The sequence below is a fragment of the Homo sapiens genome, chromosome 14 (assembly GCF_000001405.40).
Source record: "Homo sapiens chromosome 14, GRCh38.p14 Primary Assembly".
In the NCBI taxonomy this organism is placed as follows: domain Eukaryota; kingdom Metazoa; phylum Chordata; class Mammalia; order Primates; family Hominidae; genus Homo; species Homo sapiens.
Window position 1 is genome coordinate 65,403,230 of NC_000014.9, and position 21,405 is coordinate 65,424,634.

The 21,405-nt window shown below is 41.4% G+C and overlaps 1 protein-coding gene and 1 long non-coding RNA gene across 12 annotated transcripts in view, besides 7 other annotated features; one reads left to right on the forward strand and one right to left on the reverse strand.

The window, feature by feature from the left end:
* The window catches only part of FUT8 (fucosyltransferase 8), a 387,280-nt gene that overhangs the window by 46,388 nt on the left and 319,487 nt on the right, over positions 1-21,405 (forward strand). For 6 of the 11 annotated variants that reach the window (NR_038167.1, XM_047431177.1, XM_047431181.1 and 3 more), the window contains exon 1: positions 7,363-8,764. The exons of 1 other annotated variant lie outside the window; for it this stretch is intronic. The gene's annotated coding sequence lies outside the window, so the exon portion shown is untranslated. Of the gene's footprint in view, positions 1-7,362; positions 8,765-9,500; positions 9,986-21,405 lie in introns of those variants that run through there. 4 more of the 11 variants (NM_001371534.1, NM_001371536.1, NM_178155.3 and 1 more) reach the window with 2 other exon arrangements.
* FUT8-AS1 (FUT8 antisense RNA 1) lies at positions 7,363-9,388 on the reverse strand. Its single transcript, NR_024334.1, has one exon. It is a non-coding gene; the product is annotated as an FUT8 antisense RNA 1 (long non-coding RNA).
* Positions 8,680-8,999: an enhancer, noted in NCBI's record as "active region_8563". NCBI's record gives its function as "activates an Ori minimal core promoter by ATAC-STARR-seq in GM12878 lymphoblastoid cells {active_cell/tissue: GM12878}" and the evidence as "EXISTENCE:reporter gene assay evidence [ECO:0000049][PMID:35858748]".
* Positions 9,540-9,699: a silencer, noted in NCBI's record as "silent region_5850". NCBI's record gives its function as "represses an Ori minimal core promoter by ATAC-STARR-seq in GM12878 lymphoblastoid cells {active_cell/tissue: GM12878}" and the evidence as "EXISTENCE:reporter gene assay evidence [ECO:0000049][PMID:35858748]".
* Positions 10,000-10,119: a silencer, noted in NCBI's record as "silent region_5851". NCBI's record gives its function as "represses an Ori minimal core promoter by ATAC-STARR-seq in GM12878 lymphoblastoid cells {active_cell/tissue: GM12878}" and the evidence as "EXISTENCE:reporter gene assay evidence [ECO:0000049][PMID:35858748]".
* Positions 10,130-10,319: a silencer, noted in NCBI's record as "silent region_5852". NCBI's record gives its function as "represses an Ori minimal core promoter by ATAC-STARR-seq in GM12878 lymphoblastoid cells {active_cell/tissue: GM12878}" and the evidence as "EXISTENCE:reporter gene assay evidence [ECO:0000049][PMID:35858748]".
* Positions 10,130-10,806: a biological region, named in NCBI's record as "NANOG-H3K27ac hESC enhancer GRCh37_chr14:65880189-65880753".
* Positions 10,242-10,806: an enhancer, noted in NCBI's record as "NANOG-H3K27ac hESC enhancer chr14:65880189-65880753 (GRCh37/hg19 assembly coordinates)". NCBI's record gives its function as "activates a minimal SCP1, AML or CMV promoter by ChIP-STARR-seq in naive H9 embryonic stem cells {active_cell/tissue: H9 hESC(naive)}" and the evidence as "EXISTENCE:reporter gene assay evidence [ECO:0000049][PMID:30033119]".
* Positions 16,188-16,388: a silencer, noted in NCBI's record as "peak2170 fragment used in MPRA reporter construct". NCBI's record gives its function as "represses an SCP1 promoter by STARR-seq MPRAs in K562 erythroleukemia cells {active_cell/tissue: K562}" and the evidence as "EXISTENCE:reporter gene assay evidence [ECO:0000049][PMID:32103011]".

Below are 21,405 nucleotides of genomic sequence, written 5' to 3' on the forward strand. Positions count from 1 at the left end.
AACAACCCTATGATGTAGATACTATTATTATTCCTACTTTACAGATATGAAAAAATGAGACAGAGAGTTTTAAAGTTTCCCAAGGTCTCACAGCTATTAATTGGTGAGCAAGGATTCAAATATAGTTAGAATCAACATTCTGAACCATGATTTTATATGGCCTTGTTCCCATGGAAACTAGAAGATCCTGACTAACCAGAGGTTATGTTTCTCAATCCTGTTGGCAGTTATATTGCAATGAAAATTAATTAACTCATTCAATAAATATGCTACATGGTGGGGATCAAGACAGATAGGCAGGATCTCTGCTTTCAAGAGGGCCTCTGGTTTTTCAGACTTTTGTCAGTTTGGTTAGAGTTAGTGTTTTCCCATCAGACTCTAATTTGCCCTTGGGTTAACATATAAGGTAGAATTTTTGCCTCTGAAAAGCTGAACATTGGAACTTTAGTGACTTTAGCAAGGTTTATTCTTGCTGGAGCAAGTATTTATATCATACTGATAGTGGTTAATTTTTTTTTTTTTTTTTGGCTGCAATTTTTCCTTATGACCTTGCTCCTACCCATCCTTCCCCAGATTGTCTATTTTTGGATTTTTAATTTTTAAAATATAATAATATGTACTTGTTTCTGTAATAGTTCTTTCAAGAGCCTTTCTAGATTTGTTTCTTTTTCTTTTCTTTTTTTTTGAGATGGAGTTTTGCTCTTCTTGCCCAGGCTGGAGTGCAATGGCATGATCTCGGCTCAGTGCAACCTCCACCTCCCGGGTTCAAGTGATTCTCCTGCCTCAACCTCTTGAGTAGCTGGGATTACAGGCGCTAGTAGAGACAGGGTTTCACGATGTTGGTCAGGCTGGTCTCGAACTCCTGACCTCAGGTGATCCACCCGCCTTAGCCTCCCAAAGTGCTGGGATTACAGGTGTGAGCCACTGTGCGGGGCCAGATTTGTTTGTTTGTTTTTCTTTGAGACAGAGTCTCACTCTGTTGTCCAGGCTGGAGTGCAGTGGTGTGATCTCGGCTCACTGCAACCTCTGCCTCCTGAGTTCAAATGATTCTCCTGTCTCAGCCTCCTGAGTAGGTGGGATTACAGGCGCCCACCATAGCGCCCAGCTAATTTTTTTGTATTTTTAGTAGAGATGGGGTTTTGCCATCTTGGCCAGGCTGGTCTCGAACTCCTGACCTTGTGATTCACCCACCTCGGCCTCCCAAAGTGCTGGGATTACAGGTGTGAGCCACTGCACCCAGCGTTGTTTCTTTTTTTTTTCTTTTTGAGACAGAGTCTTGCTCTGTCGCCAGGCTGGAGTGCAGTGGCGCAATCTCAGCTCACTGCAACCTCTGCCTCCCGGGTCAAGCAATTCCCCTGCCTCAGCCTCCCAAGTAGCTGGGATTACAGGCATGTGCCACCACACCCAGCTAATTTTTTGTATTTTAGTAGAGACGGGGTTTCACCATGTTGGTCAAGATGGTCTCGATCTCTTGACCTCGTGATCTGCCTGCCTCAGCCTCCCCAAGTGCTGGGATTACAGGCGTGAGCTGCTGCACCCGGCGCCGGCCTTGCTCCTTTTTATACAGCCTTATTGATCCAGCCTAACTCAATATAGTTTATTAAATTGCAATGGTATTGTATCAATAGTATCAGAATTTATTAAACTGCAATGGTATTATTGTATCAATAGTATCAGAATTAGTGGCATATAACAGTAAAACCTAGATAATAGTGGCTTAAATAAAACAGCAGCTTACACAAAATAATTTTGGAAATGAGCAATCCAGGATTGGCGTGGAGGCTTGACAAAGTTGTCAAGGAGCCAGCTCCCTCCCAGTCACTATTATGTTATTCCCAGGGTACAGCTATCCTCCTCATGGTCCAAGATGGCTGAAAGGGCTCCAGTCATCACATCATCATGCCTCAGGTAATAGGATGGAGAGAAGCGATAAGAAGGGTGCATCTCCTTCATTTTCATGATTTTTTTAAAAAATGTAAGCACTGCACAATATTTCTGCTTAGATCTCAATAGGCAGAATTTAGTCATGCAGCCACATCCATTGCAGGGGAGACTAGGAAAAGTAAGATTTTAGTTGAGTTCCAATAGGACTATCCAGAAATGGGGATTTGTGATTATGGAAAAATGAGAAAAGATATAGGAAGGTAAATCTGAAGTGTCTTCTACTGGGAGCTTACATATAGTTAGTATCTTATAAAAATTTGTTGATTCACTTTCATAAACTTGATGGTCATATTCTTAGTGGTATCATCCAGGTCATTAATGAAAAGTAATACATCTAAAAATTTTTCCTCTTCTTATTTTTTTTACTTTATGATAATAGAGCATATTATTGCATTAATTGCATCTACAATAAACCTACCTGGAAATAGCTTAGGCAAGATGGAAACAATATTGGAAGGATACAGGGAAAGCCTAGAAACAGAGGAGCCTAAGCAGAAGAAAAGGCAGAAATTCAACTACTGGTCAGCAAAACCTGGAACTGAGAATTCCAGTATAAGGATACTTCTGTCTTCTCTGCTTCCTCTTTCCACTGACTTTATTCTCTAATGCAGAATGAGTTTCTCCACTTGGCAAATGACTAATGACTTCTCCCAGATTTTATATCTAGGTGAGGCCTGAGATAATCTCTCTTCTCACATCTATAAACATTCTGGAGGAATGGGTTCATTGTCCCATCTTGGGTCAGGTGTCCCCCTCTTGACCAATTAGGTGTGGGCAATGGACAGCGGTCACACAGCTCTCGCTGCCATCATAATAAAAATGTGGGCATGAGAGCAGTAGTTCCTATAGGAAAGGTGGGTGCTGGCCACACACTAATATAGGTATACGTTAAAATTATATGAGATGATAAAATACAGGTCGATGGTCTGAATTAAATGAATGGTAAAGGAGAACAGGATCTATCCTAATGCATAAAAATGGTTTAGCTATGAATAAACATCATTTAATAGGGCTGCAATGTATACAACATTTACTATATGTCAAGAATTGTACTAAGTGCTTTTTGTATGTTGAGTCATTTATTTTATACAACCCCATGAGCTAGGGGACATCATCCCTTCTTATAGATGGAAAAACCAGAGCTCAGAGAGGTTAAGTAACTTGCCCAAGGTCAGATTGTAACTGAGCACTGTTTAATGTGCATAGAGGCCAATGGCCAATACCATGGCACTGGCTTTTGAGAAAATAAAAGCTTTATTGCAAGTCAACCGCAAGGAGACAGGAAGATATGCTCAACTCTGTCTCCCTGTGCAGGGCTTGTTTTCTTTTTCTTTTCTTTTCTTTTCGTCTCTCGCTCTCTCTCTTTCTCTCTTTCTTTCTGAGATGGAGTCTTGCTCTGTTGCCCAGGCTGGAGTGCAGTAGCATAATCTCGGCTCACTGCAACCTCCTTCTCCTGGGTTCAAATGATTCTCCTGCCTGAGCCTTCCAAGTAGCTGAGATTAAAGGTGCCCACTACCACGCCCAGCTAATTTTTGTATTTTTTTAGTAGAGACAGAGTTTCACCATGTTGGCCAGGCTGGTCTTGAACTCCTGTCCTCAAGTAATCTGCCCACATCGGCCTCCCAAAGTGCTGGGATTATAGGTGTGAGCCACAGCGCCTGGCCTGGGCCAGGTTTTATAAGCATAAAGTCATGAGATGTGATCTGATTGGATCTTGCAATGAGGTGATGCTGGGAGGTATGATTTGATTGGATCCTGCCATGGGGTGATGCCAAGCTTGATACGATTAGATCCTGGATCCTACAATGTGGTGTCCCCTTCTTAATTCAGTCCTCACTCCTCAGTCAGAGCACTTAGGTTCCCGCTGTAGTTGCAGACTCGGTTCATCTGGGCATGTTCAGGTTAGGTGACCTTCAAACTGGGGGGCCATTGGTAACTGAAAAACAACTCACAACTTTGTTACATAAAAGTTGAACCAGATTGGTGTGATGTGGTTACAAAAAAGCTAGTAAGTCTGAGAGTAATATACTGGCTCAATACTTCTCTATCCTAAGTTGGAAACTATGGTCAATTTTGATGAAGAAATTATTAGCTATTTCCCTACTTCAATTTTGCCATACCAAAGCTATATGAGCTTGATAAACCTTGTAATGTCTTACAAGGTTTTAATCTCTTCATCTGTAAGAAGATTGGATTGAATCAAATTACTCTCTCTCCTTGTTAATACAGATAATACTTTTTTTTCTGAAGGCAAGAGTATGATCTATTACATTAAAATGTTTTTAATGTATCCAATATATTTAAAAAAATAGAGACAGGGGTCTTGCTATGGTTGCCCAGCCTGGTCTTGAACTCCTGGCCTCAAGTGATCCTCCCACCTTGGCTTCCCAAAATGTTGAGGTGAAGGTATGAGCCATAATTGCTGGCTATATCCAATACGTTTTAGTGCTTCTTGAGACATATCTGTGTTAGGAACTGAGATGAAATTAAAGATATACAAGATAGAGTTTTTGCTTACAGTGTTATGGTGGGAACAAACAAACATAATTATTATTTTGTAGAATTAATAGTCCAGGAAAGAATAGTTTTCAGGAGTGGTATGACCACAGCTCAATCAAATCTGCAAGGGTTTTCTATCTGTCTGCCATCGCCAGTAGGTTGACTTCATTTTCAGGTTAGTTCCTCTTGCAAGATTGCTGCCAATGGCAATCTGGGTTACAGGTTGACTTGCTCATATCTGGCAGGAAAGAGAGAACTCCTTCCCCCAGATATGGACTGAAAATCCTTTCCTTCAGTCTGATTGGGCCAGTTTATCCTGGTCCTAATGGTTTTCAAGTGTATCAATTAGAATAGTCTAGGACTATTCTAATTCTAGCATATTCTAGTCTAGCATAACCTAGATGCTAGGTCATACTGCATTGAAAAATGCCCCCAAATCTCAGTGGCTTAAACTACAAAGGTGTATTTCTTATTAAAACCAGATGAAAATGGGAGGCAGGCTGCTCTACCTTGTCCTTTTTTTTGGAAGTTAAGCCGAGAGAGGCTTTACCGATACTTTCAAGATAATACTGGTCTTGAGTCTGGAGAAGAGTAAACACTGTAAGGACTTACGCTGGCCATGAACTGTTCTACCTGGAATTGACACATACCACTTCTGCCCACAACCCACTACAGACTGGTGGCTATAGCTAGTCAGTCACATGGTCCAGCCCAACTGCAAGGGGAGGAGGGTATCTGGGGGTGGGTGTGGAAAAATATAATCTTTTTGTATGTCTGGAAAGAGAGAGTAAGCATGATAAATCTCCTACCATATTAGGGAACCCATTTATTGGCTAATTGAGTTGCCTTTCTGTAGTTGGAGTTTTGGGTGGTTACCTAAAGAATTGGCAGATGAAAACAAAAATAAACAGCCCTATTAATAAGGAAGGACGGGAGTGAATGTTCAATTAGAAATCAATAGTGTGAACTATATGCTGCTTTATCCCAGTGGAGAAGACAGAAATTTCAGCCATGGAGGCAAGTCATAGGGAGGGATAGTCTGGCTAGTTTCATCAGTCTTTAAATCAATCACTTCATTTACTCTTGTAATGGGAAAGATTTGCTCTGGCTTTTTAATGAGTAGGTATAGAGTTTGTTTAAGGAGCTGGCTCAAAAGTGACTTAAAACACATTGAATTTGAAAATATAGATTCTTAGCTACTCAGGAGGCTGAGGCAAGAGTACAGCTTGAGGCCAGGAGTTCAAGACGAGCCTTGGCAACATTCTGCGACCTTGTCTCTAAAAAATAAAAATGAAAATATAGACTTTTTTTCCCTATATTTCATTTTTGTAGTTATTGTCAATGGTGTGTCAAGTTGGCTAGATTTATAGTTTTAGAACTGACGAACAACTAAAACTTACCTAGTCCAACCCTTTTATTTTACAAATGAGAAAACTGAGGCCCAGATGGGTAAAATGATTATCTCAAGGTCACCCCTTCTTGCTCTTGGCAATAACAATGCTGCCCTTTGGATGACTTCCTGGAAAATCGGATCCTGTAAGTGAAATGTAGCTAGAGCAACAATTATAAAACAACGAGAACAATTAACAATTATTCAGAATGCTTCCATGGCTGACAGTCAGTTGGTACACGTTGGTAGAGATAGAAAAATTTCTAAACTATTTGGTAAGTAGCTTATGCTAAGCCTTCTGAGTGCCTCAACCCCTTGCTGGAACTCCACAGATCTCCCCACCGTAATAACAGGATCCACCTCAAAGGTTTGATTTGAGAATTAAATGGTGGAGGTAAAGAGTTTTGCATGAGGCCTGGTGCTCAGCACTATTACACTTTGGCTATTATTTTTATTACAGTCATAATAAAATGGTAGTAAATTTCAAACCAGTTTCTACATGAATGTTCACAACTTAGGAAATGTGATAGCATTCACGTTCATTAACTTTGATCTAGCTAATCTCTCAATAAAATGGCCACTCATGTACTCACTTTAACTTTCATTTTGATCTTTTCCATAGTCTAAGGGTTGACTCCTTCTTGCCCCGGGACACCCGAGTCCCCATAGCTCTAGCTGATGGTTAAGAATTTGACCGAGGCTATATACAAGAAAACAATGCACTGACAAGGCCCTGTTACTTGTTGTATAACAGATCATAACGATTGTTCTGTCTAATCTTTTGTTGAACAGAACTTGTCTTTAACTTTTGGGATAAGCAAAGATGGGTCCAAAACCTAGTTTGGTGAGGGAGGGGTGGAGTAAGAGGTGGAGTACCTGTACTTACTTAAGCAACTATTACAAACTGGCAGTGATGAGCAGCAGAGGCAAGCAGTTGGGAGAAGAGAATGAGAGAGCGCAGCAACAGGGTGGGACCTGCAGCTTGTGGAAAAATGCTTTTGACACAGATACTTTCTGATGGCCAGTGATGTTTAGAACCTTTTGGGGGATTCCTTCTCTCTCAGAATTTAACCTGGCAAGAGAACGACTGAGTTCTAGGAATTTTCTTGTCTGGAGAGAGTAAAATAAATGTATTTTTTAAAAGCTGGGACTGTTATCCACACTGAGAAGAGGCAGGGTATAAAATTCCCTTTCATAAGTGAATTTCCTGGAAATTCATGATTGGCTTGGAACTTAATGTGTAAAGACTTGTTCTCAAATATCAGTTGTTTGACAGAGACCTCCAGTTTTGGGATGGCAGCTAAATCCTGAGCCTGCCTTGGAAAGGGTTTTGATAATAATGTTCCATCACAGGTGGAGAAGCACATTGATTCAACAAAGCAGACTTCAAAACCACTGAAGAATTAGTTTCTGAGTGTATTCAAGAGATACCAAAGTTATTTGTTATTTTAACGTATATTATACTGTTCTATACAAATGCACCAAATCCTGGGCAAAACATTCCTAGGACAGGTTTTTTTTTTTTTTTTTTTCAGTTGGAAGGAGGTAGGGAAAATAAGTGCTTTAATTCCTAGGATTTTGGAAGTAAAAATGGAACACCAGACAAAAATGGAATTTTTAGGCAAATGTAAAGCTTTGTACTTGGGTATCTCAAAGTATTATACAGTGTAAACTATCATGATTATTAACCAACTAGAAGTAGTTCTTTTTTTTAAATTTTATTTTTAATTTTAGACATGAGGGTCTTGCTATGTTGCCCAGGCTGAAGTGGCTACTGACAGGCACGATGTGGCACTGCAGCCTGGAACTCTTGGGCTTAAGTGATCCTTCCTGCTTCTTCTATCTTAAAAAAAAAAAGTTACGCTTGCTTGTTAAAATATTTTTAAAATGCTGTGTTTAAACTAAGAAGTAAATATCCACCCCACCTCTGACTTCTAAAAATTATCTAAAGTATGACTGGTAAGATTTTTACCTTTAATCCCACATAAGTCTAAAATTTGTGTTCATTTCCAACAACCAAAGTGTGTCACTTTTATACCAGAATTTTGTCCTGCTTATACGTTTAGTACAGAAATCTCATGGGAGAGAGCATCCATGCATTTACAAATTGTTATTGAATTATTTTATTGAATGATGACACCCAAACTGAGCTAGAACATAATTCTGGCTCTGCTAGTACATCTTCTGTGTGATCTTGGACAAGTCACTCTACTTTCCTTTCAATTTTCTTTTCTCACAGGGAGATAATCATAAAAACGACTGTAAAGTACAGCACTTCATAGAGTGCTTTTTGTTTAAAGAGCTGACAATAAATACGAGTCTCAAGGTCTAGGAAAGCCTCCCTCACAACCTGAGCTGCTTGAGGACAAGGGATTTTCTTTTGAATCAGCAGTACCTTATTTGTGTATCTGTGATAGAGTTCCTGGTACATAAGAAGGTCTCAATAAATATGTGAATTTATGAATATTAGGCAGATTGCAACCTTGACAGGCCACTGCCTCTTAAATCTCCTTTCTGTGATCTTTTAATATTTAACATCTAAAAGGCCGCCGCTACTTGCTTTGGGATAAGTATCCCCGGTATGTACTTTAAAATGCCCAAGCCTAGAGAAATGATTCTTGTCTTAAGGGCACCATTTCGCTCTCCCACCGTAAAGCGCCCCAGGCTTGGGATCTGGGTCCCAAGGCTACAGGGAAGAGTTTGGAACGGGAAGCTCATCTTCCGGCCCTCTGATTGGCCGGCTCGCACTCCACTCACGCGGCGCGCAGCTCTGATTGGCCTCGGCGGCACCCCTCGTCCCGCGACTACTTTGTGTGCTGGGGCGGCGCGCTCCGGTCCTCCCGCTCAGCTGGCGGTCTGGGCTGCTCTGGGGCAGCCCTTCGGTCCACTGCTCTGCATCGCGGGCGCCGGGAATTTTCCGAGTCCGAGCGGGTAGGACGCATCCTAGGGCAAAGCCTCTCCCCTCTCCCCGTGCTGTTCTCTTTCCCGTACTAAATAAACTTCCGCCTCAGAGGGGCTGTCGCAGCCGCGGGTCGGGAGAGGCCGGGCATCGAACTCAGGCCCTCGTGGGGGGGGTCTTTCTCTTCGAGTGAATGTGGAAACAGCTCTTACAAGATAAAGTAGGGCTTCGCTGAGTCTCCTGGGGGAGCGATGCCATTGTAGGATCGCGCTGGAAGCAGCAGTCAAGCGGCCAAATGCGGGCTGCAGGGGCTGAGCAGCAGCAGCGCGCACCCCTAAAAGTAGCAAGGAGCCAGCTTCAAAACCTCTAGTGCGGGTGCCCCCTAGGGCCGCCGACTGAGCTGGCACGGGCCGGTCCATTCCCGGCGCTGTAGGGAGCACAGCATTCTCTGGAGGCGAGTCTCCTCCCGGGATCCAGGATCCGCTCGCGCCCCGCTCAGCCTCCGGCCTTCAGGCGGTAGAGGGCGGCCTACGCCTGTGTGCGAGCCGGAGCCGGCGTGCGCAGCCGCTGCCCTGCTGGAACTGTGCCGTCCCGCTGTGGCCCGCGGCTCTGCTAGGCGGTGGATGCTGCTGCTACGCTCTCCACCGGCGCAGCGAGGAAGGGGGCGGGGAGAATCCCTGGCACATGCCAGGGTCGCCGTAGGTGGCAGCGGCCGGCGCATGCGCGCCCTCTCCCAGAAGCCAGGAACGCCGAGGGGCGCGCTCCCCCATTCGCGCGCGCACGCCGGCGCTGGCCGAGGCTTCCCCGCCTGCGCTCGTTGTCAGAGCCGCTCCGGCGCGTGCGCGCGTTATCTCCGGCCGACCCGAGCAGCCGGTTCCCTCCTCTCCAGGCCCCCTCCCCATCCCACCCCCGCCGCCTGGCCCCAGCCGACCCGTCCCTTCGTCTCCCCGCGGAATGGGGCCGGCACTGCTCAGGGTCGCGCGCCCTGGACCCAGCTCGCTCTCGGTCTCGCGCTGTCAGCGACTGCCCGGCTCGCGCCGCCTCGCGCTCTGCCTCAGTCAGTGGCGCCGAAGGCTCCGTTAAGCGGCGGCGGCGGTTCCTGTTTCCGTTTCTTCCTCTCCGTTCGGTCGGGAGTAGCATCCTCCACTCAGCCACCCTTCCCACTCCCCCATCGTGGGGCAGCTGCGGCTGAGGGCTGTGGCTTTGGCAGCTGCGACGGGGAGCGGCGGAGACCGCCTCTGCTCCCGCCTGGGGTAAGGGGGCGTTTTGGGAGCCGGGCCCCGCGCGCCTCGGGGTCTTGGGCTGGGCTGCGCGCGGGATCTGAGGAGGCTCCGCGGCTGTCCCTGCTCGTTCACCCGGGCCTGTTGCTGCAACTGCTGCCGGTTAACCAGCGGCTCTCGGAAAAGTGGGGAGGGAGCCCCCGGGACGCTCTGGCGGATGCCTTGGCGCAGCCCCGGGGGCGCGGGCAGAGGGTGAGGGGCGCCCGCCTCTCCAGCCGGGACGCGGAGCTGCGCCGCTGCTGCCCTCGGCGTCGCGCATCCTTGCCTAGGGCAGGGGCCAAAGCCTAGGGAAGGAGAAGGGTTGGGGGCGGGGGTGGGAGGTGTCCGTCGTTTCCCCTCCACACCTACCTTCCCTTCGTCAGCAGCTCGGTCCCTGGAGTCGCGGTTTGTGGGGAGGAAGATGCCCGTGCGTTATGGGCTCTTTCTGAGTGCTGCTCGGGCTAGAAAGCAGGGAGTGGACCCTCACAAAGATCCGCGAGGGACTGATGCAGGGCAGTTAAAGGCTTGAGTGCAGCTGTACTCCCTTTTGATGTGCAAATGACGAGCTGGCGGCTTTTGAGTATCAACTTATTTGGGAAGGTTAAATGAGTCCATATTTATCAGTTCTAGGAGGTTTGTCCTGCAGGATTGAGTGGGTTGTCGGGTGCAGCACCTGTTCTTTCTTCACAGTGGGGATTGCAATCTTCAGAGACGCAGTGTATTTCTTAAGTGGCAGTGTCATGCTTAGGGTTTGTCCCGGATGAGCTTTTATTTTAGCATTTTGCCATATAATATATAGATTGAGGCCTTGGTTAAAGGCACGGACAGGTGGTGTTTTTTTCCTTCCTATGTTTTAATTATTCACAGTTTATTTAAACCCACTCAGGAAGGTGGACCCAGAAAAGCCAAATTCTGTAGTACATAACCCCAAATTTCAAGGTTTTGCGGAACAAATTCAACACAAGTTTTGTGTCAGTTTAGAGTTAAACGCATCTCAAGTAACTGACTTAACTGGCTTGCCTCTATGAAAACTGTAGGCAGGTTTCATTATAGATTTTTTTTTTCTTGTTATTCCGGCGGTTAGGTGCATGTTTATTTTCTTGATTAAATTTACATTCTATGTTTTATGACTAATTCTTTAAATAGGTGCATCATATAGAAAGTATTTTAGGAGAGAAATTATTATTTAAGCACTACAGTATATCAGATATATGAGAAATAATGGAGTTGTAGTCTCTGCTCTTTAAAATAACTGTAAAAACATCTTAAAACCCTATGCCAAATAATAAGGCCCTGTACCTTGCTGTCCTTGTGAAATCTGGTATGTGTATAGAAAATCTTAATTACTTGATTTGTAAATACTACAGTAGTATTGAAAAGGTGGGAATTCAAGCATTTGTAATTGTGATTTCACAGGTTTAGTGTGTAAAAAATGCAGGGAGTTAGAGATGAATAGGCTATAAGACACGTACAAAGGTAGTTCCAAGACATGGATTTTCTTTTTGCTGCCTTATAAATTGAGAATTCTATTTGAATTCAAGAGCTGAACAGCTGGAATGAAACTTGCATAGATTGCAGAAACAGATGCAAAAATGTATCTTTGGTCAAGTTGTGAGTTAACTTGAAGAGTGTCTTGTGTAATAGGATAGTGATTCAAAATAATTTCCATAAAGTACGGCCTTATATAGGTTATATTTTGAGGATATTTTTGAATTTAAAAAGTCACCTGAAGTTGTTTTCCTACAAATCAGTTCTGTTTAAGATGTATGGAATCGAAAAAAACAAAACAAAACTAATTCTGATTACATCCTGCATTGTTTTGTTGCAAATTCTTACCAGTTATTTTTACGCAATTGGAGTGTCCTTAAAAGTGGTGAATCTTAAAATTTGCCAGTGGATTGGAAAAAACTGTTAACTTATTATTTTTAAAAATGCTGTTATATTAGTACATTGGTCTGGAGGGGGAGCTAGTGCCAAAGCAAAGTATAGCTTAATAGCTGTTTGAACTTTTAAAACACCCAAAACCAGATTTTTATGACCAAAAGAAACATAAATTTTTAATTAAAAGAGTAGGAAATTGATGTGGGCATATATATGTACATAGTTATTTGTGGAGTGAATATATTGTGTATTACAAATTAGTTTAAAAAAGTCTTTTCATGCGCTGCAATAATGGAAAGCTAAATGCTTAAAGATTTATTGGATTTCTCACTTAAAAATCTCTAAAATGTACCCCCAAACTTAGAGTATGTTATAGTATTTTCTTAACCTTCTTGTCCTGTTCATCAGAATCTAAGGCATGTATTCTTGACCCATTGTACATGTTGTGTGTTCTTAAATTTTGTTTTTATAATAGCTACAATCCTAAAATTTCAAAAACGAAGCTTCAAGTAGAATCTTATATGGGCGAAGGTATTAATTGTGTGGTAAGCTAGGTATTTATCAAAAGTAGATATAATTCCTTTTTTTTTTTTTTTTAAAGTAGAGATAATTCCAATAAAAAAATGGACCTTTTAGACATCTGGAGAACAATATCCCCAGGTCACTTAACCCTTATCTCCTGCAGTATAATGCAGTGCGTCCAGCTGATCTACCAAATTGAATGTGTGCCTTTGAATACGAAGCAGTTGTTTTGTGGCCTGTGGCATTTCATTTAGGTTTCTAAGCTGTAATAAATTAGTATGTTAATTTACTTCTTTCCATTCACATATTCTTTAAATCCAAGCCTAGAAACTGATAGTTATATGTATATTAAAATCATTGGAATATTGGTTTTTTTGCAGATAGTGTTTGGGCTGTTTATTATCCATAGCTCTTCATTATGTAAATAGAATCTCAATGCTGATAAAGTAAATAGATTCTTCCATTTCATTAATGGTTATTTTTGATTTATGATAAACTGCATTTAATAAATCTCTTGATTTAGTTAAATGGTGGATACATCATTTCATATTATAGCAAATTGATAAATATAAAAGAAAGTTTTACAATCATAAGAGTAAATATTTAAAAAAACTTGAATAAGTTACTTTACTAAACATAAAATTAAGATTTTTAAACAACTCTGAAACTAAAAGTATTACTATTATGGTACCTTTTTTTTTTTTTCCCCCAAAGAGATGTGATCTTGCTGTTTTGTCCAGGTTGGCCTTGAACTCCTGGGCTCAAGCAATCCTCCTACCTCAGTCTCTTGAGTAGCTGGGACTATAGGCATGTGCTACCACAGCCAGCTTTATTATAGTACTTTTGTACCCTGCATCAATGCTGCTTCTGTTGATACTTTTCAAAGGAGATATCAACTTCTGGTCTTCAACAGTAGTGTAGCATCCTCTTATTGATTCTCTGGCTCATATTTCACTACCGTATAGTATGGAGTTTCTTTCTTGGAGTTTGAATTGTTTTTACATTGCAGCTTGTTATAGTGAAACAATTAAACATATTTAAAAGTAAAAGATATTTACGACTGATTTTTAAAGAACCTGTAAAAAAATCTCCAACAGAAGAATATTATATGGGGATGTGTAGATTTAACATTTTATTTTCTTTAATTTTTTTTTTTTTTTTTTTGAGATTGGGGTTGGGGGTTGTCTCTCTATGTTGCCCAGGTTGGAGTGCAGTAGTGGCGTGATCACGGCTCACTGCAGCCTTGAACTCCCTGGTTCAAGCCATTCTCCCGCCTTAGCCTCTGGAGTATCTGGGATTATGGGTGCATGCCACCATGCGTGGCTAATTATTTTTTAATATTTGTAGAGATGAGACCTTGGTATGTTGCCCAGGTTTGTCTTGAACTCCTGGGGTCAAGTGGTCCTCACACCTTGGCCTCCTAAAATGCTGGGATTACAGGCGTGAGTCACTGTACCCGGCTCCTTTATTTTATTAAAAAGATTTTTGTTTGTTTGTTTGTTTCTAAGTTTAAAAGAGACAGGGTCTTGCCATGTTGCCCAGGCTGGTCTTGAACTCCTGACCTCAAGTGATCATCCCACCTTGGCCTCCCACAGGCGTGAGCTACCATGCTTGGTTGTAAGATTTTTAAAAAATGGATTAGTTTCAAATCTCAACTTCTCTTTCTTTCAACATTCTAATCTCCTGGCATTTTTTTCCTTTCCCCAGCTACCCCCCATCATCCAACAGTCTTCCATTTGGAATAATGGGAAATCAAACCAATAAAGTTAATCTTACCTCCCACCAGGCAAAGGTTTTTCTTAATCTCTACAATATTCTGAACATAAAACCCATATAAACTTTATATGATACTACACATTTTCCTTTTAACGGAGGAAGAGCAAATGGGACCTATGGAATTATGCCGTATTTGTCAATATAAGGGTTACTTTTGTACTCTTACTGAAAGCAGAGTTATAGGGCTAATTTCATTTAAATTTTCTTACCCATCTACTTTAAAAAAATACCTCTTTGTGGTAGTCTTTTTTTTGGTCAGAAAATGACAATGTGAAGGAGAAATACGTTTTGAATTTATAAATCTTCTTTTAATTAACAAATTATACCAATATAAGGGTAGTGTTAATGTGGTTCAAATTTGCCTTTGCTATTCTGCCTTTTCTTCTATAGTGATTGTATAGTTATACTATAACTTCTTCCTCGAAGCACTGGAATAAAAGAAAAACTTTTAAAGATCACTACGAAATGCTCACTGTATTTGTTGTATTTTATAACTTGGGTTTTTAAAATTTATTTTTCCATAAACTGAATAAATATGAAAACGAACTTGAAAGATCTTGTCACAGCCTTGATGACTGGTCAGTATAAAGTTCACATTATAAAATAATAAAACATTGATAATAATCTTAGATGAAAATGGAAAATTAAGCTAATGTTTATTTTAGAACCTGAGTAATGAGTTTATATCATGTAGCAATGAGGCACATGAAGACGGTTAGAATTAGTTTTTCTAATGAATAAACTTCATGATATAAACTTGAAAGTGCATAAATGCTATAACTTTCTGATTGTAAACTTGAACAAAAGTAAAATGAAAATGGGAGAGTCCTCTTAATTACCTTTAACGTATAACTAAAATGAACCTGTGTATCTGTCTAAGTCTTATTTGATCAAGACTTTCAATGGACAATGAATGAGTTTTAAGTTTTTATCAATGTTGTGACTGATTTTTCTATAATATCCCTTAAATGAGATATCAAATTCTAATAATATCTAGAACCAGATTAAATTTGGTTAGAGTATAAACAATATTTACAAACCATCAAAACTATAATAAAAGCATTGTAATGTTATTTAATGACTTAAGCCAACATTCCATAAGCTAATCTAAGCATTTTTACAATTAATACAATTGATAGTAATATCTTAATTAGTGGTAAAGTGGACAGATATAATTTATAGATTCTGTATTGTCTGGGACCTTGGGGCAGTCAGTGAAGAGAGGGAGATAGAGAGAGGAGCATACTGGTTGATGAGCTTGCCTTATTTGGAGATGAAGGAGATTTATTCAGTTTTTCTCTTTCCCTCTACTTACTTCTCCTTGTTTGTCATCCTCTTCTAGCAATGGTAAGAAATGCGGGAATTGACCATCTTTACAGTATACTTTTTTCCTTAGAGTTCATAGAACATTTCCAGGTAAAACATTAGCTTTTATGTTATAATAGGTTTATTATAATGATATCATTTCCTTTTGAGGTGGTAGGCAAGAGACTAGAAGAACTTCATTTGTATAGCATTTAATATTATTTATTAAAAATGATTTTATAGGCCGGGCGCGGTGGCTCATGCCTGTAATCCCAGCACTTTGGGAGGCCGAGGCAGGTGGATCACCTGAGGTCAGGAGTTGGAGACCAGCCTGACCAACATGGAGAAACCTCATCTTTACTAAAAATACAAAATTAGTCGGGCATGGTGGCACATGCCTGTAATCGTAGCTACTTGGGAGGCTGAGGCAGGAGAATCACTTGAACCCGGGAGGCTGAGGCAGGAGAATCACTTGAACCCAGGAGGCGGAGGTTGCAGTGAGCCGAGATCTTGCCATTGCACTCCAGCCTGGACAACAAGAGTGAAACTCTGTCTCAAAAAACAAAACAAAACAAAAAAACAAAAACAAATTCTAACCTTCATGTGCCTCATTACTGTAATGTAAAAAAAAAAACTATGTTCATTGAAGAGAACTAACATATTAAACTAAAAATGAAGCACAGTGTTCTCCACTCATGGGAGTACTGTTAGCAGGTTTAAGACAGTTACTGTGAGAAGTTCACAAGGTGAAAGTGTCTTTGATAATTAGGGCCTAATCAATTGGGATTTGACTTACTCAATTTCTCCAACACATGGAATTGTACTGGTACCTGAAGGAGAAAAATATATAATAGAAGTTGTATTAGTTTTTATGTCTTGAGCTCTCTGAATAACTACTTGATTCATTCAGTTGCCAAATGTCAAAAGATTGTAATTTTGAGAAAGTTGATTCTTTACAATTAGAACTAAGCCAGGGTAAACAATTTGCTTTCTTTTTCTAAGTTTTAGGTTTTTCTTTCTCTCTTAGGAAGTTTAGTGAAACTCTAGGGGTTAGGCAGGTTGTAACTGAAATTCTTGAGGCCAAAAGGTCCTGTCTTATGCTTGGTAAACCGACCCCCTCAACAGCGTGAGAAATGTAGATGTACTGATAACCCTGATTGCTTCGTGACATAATTACAGACATCCAGCCCTCTATCAACTAAAATTCCGTTTATTTTTAAGGTTCAAATATTAGAAGTATCTGCTTGATACATCTCATAGGTTGTCAAGTGTGCATACGATGAGAGATATAATGTTACTTTTAATTTGTAAGTAAACAAACACACAATATTATGTTCTCAATGCTGAGTAAGCTGAAAAGATGTATACCTACTGAGGATGCACCAAATAATAAGCAACAGAAACCTGGTAATGTGCAATTAGGAATAGTTCCTCTTAATAATAATAAAAAAAAGATTAGTGTTTAGGTTTTAATGGCATAAAGATGTAATGAAAATAAAATTACCAAAGAAGTCTATTTTGGAGAAATTTTTGTCAGACTAGATAACAAAGAAAAGAACACATCCTTTTTTTATTTTTATTTTTTATTTTATTTTAGAGATGAGGTCTTGCTCTGTTGCCCAGGCTGGTGTTGAATTCCTAGGCTCAAGTGGTCCTCCTCCCTTGGCCTCCCAAAATGCTGGGATTACAGGTGTGAGCCACCAAACTTGGCCAGAACACATCCTCTATATGACTGTCTACAGAGGCTTAGAGTAGTACAGAAGTACCTGAAAGGAAATAATGATAAATAATGAAAATGTTTTAATAGGGATCATGTGTTCATTTCTACATGTATATCAGTATAGTACCTATCGTTTGCTGTTTCTGCTTGTAAATGCACGGTTGGAAAATAAGATACCCAACCTTTGGAAATTATTCAGGGAAGTGCATCTAAAGTTTAGAGAAAAGTTGGTTTCTTCATATTTTAATGACACTTTTCAGCACGTATAGTTCACCCTTGAACAGCACTGGGTTTGGGGCACAGACCCCCATCAAGATGAAAATCCACATGTAACTTTTATCTCCTCAAAAACTTAATTACTAATAAACTACTGTTGACTTCCAGCCTTACCGATGACATAGTCAACTAACACATTGTACCTTATATGTATTATATACTGTGTTCTCAAAGTAAGCTAGAGAAAAGAAAATGTTATTAAGAAAATCATAGGCCGGGCGCCGTGGCTCACGCCTGTAATCCCAGCACTTTGGGAGGCCAAGGTGGGCGGATCTTGAGGTCAAGAGATCGAGACCATCCTGGCCAACATGGTGAAACTCCATCTCTACTAAAAATACAAAAATTAGCTGGGCGTGGTTGCATGTGCCTGTAGTCTCAGCTATTCAGGAGGCTGAGGCAGGAGAATTGCTTGAACCTAGAAGGTGGAGGTTGCAGTGAGCCAAGGTTGTGTCACTGCCCTCCAGCCTGGCGACAGAGCGGGACTCCATCTCAGGAAAAAAAAAAAAAAAAAAAAAATCATAAGGAAGAGAGAATATATTTACTCTTCATTAAGTGGAAGTGGATCATCACAAAGGCCTTTATCCTCATTGTCTCCACATTGAGTAGGCTGAGAGGAGAAGGAAGCGGAGGAATTCGTCTTGTTGGTCTCAGCATGGTAGAGGTGGAAGGGGGAAGGGGAGGCGTGAGAGGCAGGCACACATGGTGTAACTTTATGGCAATACGTCATACTTCTGCCTTTTTTGCTTTTTCATTTCTCTGAAAACATTTCCATATGGTACCAATCCTTCTTCCACCGTTTGCTTTAGTTTCAGTGCCCATATCAGAGAAGGGTCCATGTCATGAAGGAGTCAAAAGCAGTCTTGAACAATCAGACAGTCTTCTGCCATATCGTCTGATGTCATTTTGTTTTCTTGCATTCCTTCTACATTACCTGGTACTGGATTGGAAGCACTTACCGAGTCATCTTTTTAAATTCCTCTTGTGTGATGTCTATTTCTTGAATTTCTCCAAGATTTGTATCTTGAAACCCTTTAACCCACCCCCCCCTTTTTTTTTTTTTGCCATATCCACAGTCTTTTTCGTGATTTCCTTGATTGGCCCTGTGGCAAATCCTGTGAAGTCATGCACAACATCTGGACACAGTCTTCTCCAGCAGGAATTTATTGTTTCAGGCTTGATGGCTTTCATGGCTTTTTCCATAACAACGACGGCTTCTTCAGTGGTGTAATCCTTCCAGACTTTCAGGATGGTTTCTTTATTGGCATTCTCTTTCATAGAGTTGACAGTACTTTCTGTAGTGTACTGTGTCCAGTGATCCTCGTGACCCCCTGATTTAGAAGCTGAATTAGAGACATTTTGTTTGGGGGCAAGTAGACTACTTCAGCACCTTTGGTGTTGAACTCATGGGGTTCCGGGTGGCCAGGGGTATTGTTCAATAATAAAAGAACTTACAGGCAAAATACTTCCTGACTTCAGGGACAAAGCATCAATGGAACCAATCCAGAAAAAGGGTTCTCATTGCCCAGGCTTTTTTTGTTCTATGACCAAAAGACTGGGAGCTGGTGTTTATCTTTTCCCTTCAAGGCTTGGGGGTTTGTAGCATTATAGATAAGGGCAGTTCTGATCATAAACCACACTGCATTTTCACCAAACAGTAGAGTTAGCCCATCCCTTCCTGCCTTTAATCCTGGTGCTTTTTCTCTTCCTTACTAATGAATGTTTTTTATGGCATTGTTTTCCAGAATAGGGCACTTTTGTCTATATTAAAAACTTGTTTAGGCGGATATTCTTTCTCCATATTTCTTTTTTTTTTAAGAGATAGGGTCTTGCTCAATTGCCCAGGCTGACATGCAAATGGCATGATCATAGCTCACCGCAGTCTCAAACTCCTGGACTTAGGCAGTCCTCCTGCCTCAGCCTCCCGAATAGCTGGGATGCAAGTGTGCACCACTATGCCTGGCTAATTTTTAAATATTTTTTATTTTTTTGTAGAGACAGGGTCTCACTGTGTTGCCCAGTCTGGTCTTAAACTCCTGGCCTTAGGTGATCCTCCCACCTGGGCCTTCCAGAGTGCTGGGGTTACAGGTGTGAGCCATTATGCCTTCCCCCAGCTAATTAAAAAAATGTTTTTTGTAGAGGCAGGGTCTCGCTGTATTGCCCAGGCCCAGGCTGATCTTGAACTCCTGGCCTCAAACGATCCTCCTGCCTCATCTTCCCAAAGTGCTGGGATTACAGGGATGAGCCACTGCACCTGGCCTCCTCAGTGATTTTCTTTCTTTCTTTCTTTTTTTTTTTTTTTTTTCGAGACTGAGTCTCGCTTTGTCACCCAGGCTGGAGTGCAGTGGCGCGATCTCGGCTCACTGCAACCTCCGCCTTCCGAGTTCAAGTGATTCTTCTGCCTCAGCCTCCTGAGTAGCTGGGACTACAGGTGTACACCACCACGCCTGGCTAATTTTTGTATTTTTTGTAGAGACGGGGTTTCACCATATCGGCCAGGCTGGTCTCGAACTCCTGACCTTGTGATCTGCCCACCTCGGCCTCCCAAAGTGAATGATTTTCTTTCTTTTTTTTTTTTTTTTGAGATGGAGTCTGGCTCTGTCGGCCAGGCTGGAGTGCAGTGGCGCAATCTCTGCTCACTGCCAGCTCCGCCTCCCAGGTTCACGCCATTCTCCTGCCTCAGCCCCCTGAATAGCTGGGACTACAGGCACCCATCACTACGCCAGGCTAATTTTTTGTATTTTTAGTAGAGACTGGGGTTTCACAGTGTTAGTCAGGATGGTCTTGATCTCCTGACCTCGTGATCCGCCTGCCTCGGCCTCCCAAAGTGCTGGGATTACAGGCGTGAGCCACCGCGCCCGGCCTAAGTGAATGATTTTCTTAATGTCATCTGGAAAGTCGTCTGCTGCCTCTTGGTTGGCAGAAGCTGCTTCTCCTGTTATCGTGACGTTTTTAAAGCCAAAACTCTTTCTAAAATTATCAAGCCATCCGTGGCTGGCATTATATTCTTCAGCTTTAGATCCTTCGCCTTCCATTTGTTTTAAGTTGTATAATGACTTTGCTTTTTCTTGAAACTTATTAAAGTTTATAGGGATGCCTTTCTTTATAGCAATCCTGTACCCCTATAAAAGCTACATTTTCAACATGAGATAAAAAACTATTTCACAAAACGTGCACAATTTTTGCATCTGCTGGTGTGCCTTCAGCAATGGCTTCATGAATTCTTTTTTTACAATGGCCCTTATGCTGGATTCATTTATTTTGAAGTAGCACGCAACTGCAGCTGCAGACCTCAATCTACAGTACGTATCAAGCAATTCACCTTTTTCTTGTAATGCCATGATTTTTCTCTGCTTCTTGGGAGCACTTCCGGCATCACTAGTGGCACTTAGGTGTCATTTGAGGTTTATAGTATCGTACTAAACATAATGAAACCGCGAGAGATCACTTTTTACTGGAATATACAATTTATTGGAAAGATGAACTGCTTGCTTGGAGATGATTAATGTCACATGGTACTTTAAGCAAATATTCACTCTTGAGCTCACCTCATTAACAACAGGAGGTGGCTACAAAATTATTTCAATAGTACAGGGTGTAGTACAGTTAAATTTATGTAGTTATGATTTAATACTGCATCTTTACTCTTTTGAGACAGGGTTTCTCTCAGTGTCAAATGCCACCATGTGTGGCTAAGTGTGTGGTATAAGTTGTGACAATTTTTAACTTTTTATAATAGATTTGTATATATTTGTAGTAGTAAATGATAAAATAGACTAGTATCTACATATATTTTAAGCACTCATGACATACCTCTTACTTTCTATTTTTCTTTTCTTTTCTTTTTTTTTTTTTTTTTTGATGAAGTCTCATTCTGTCACCCAGGCTGGAATGCAGTGGCACGATCTCGGCTCACTGCAACGTCCACCTCTGGTGT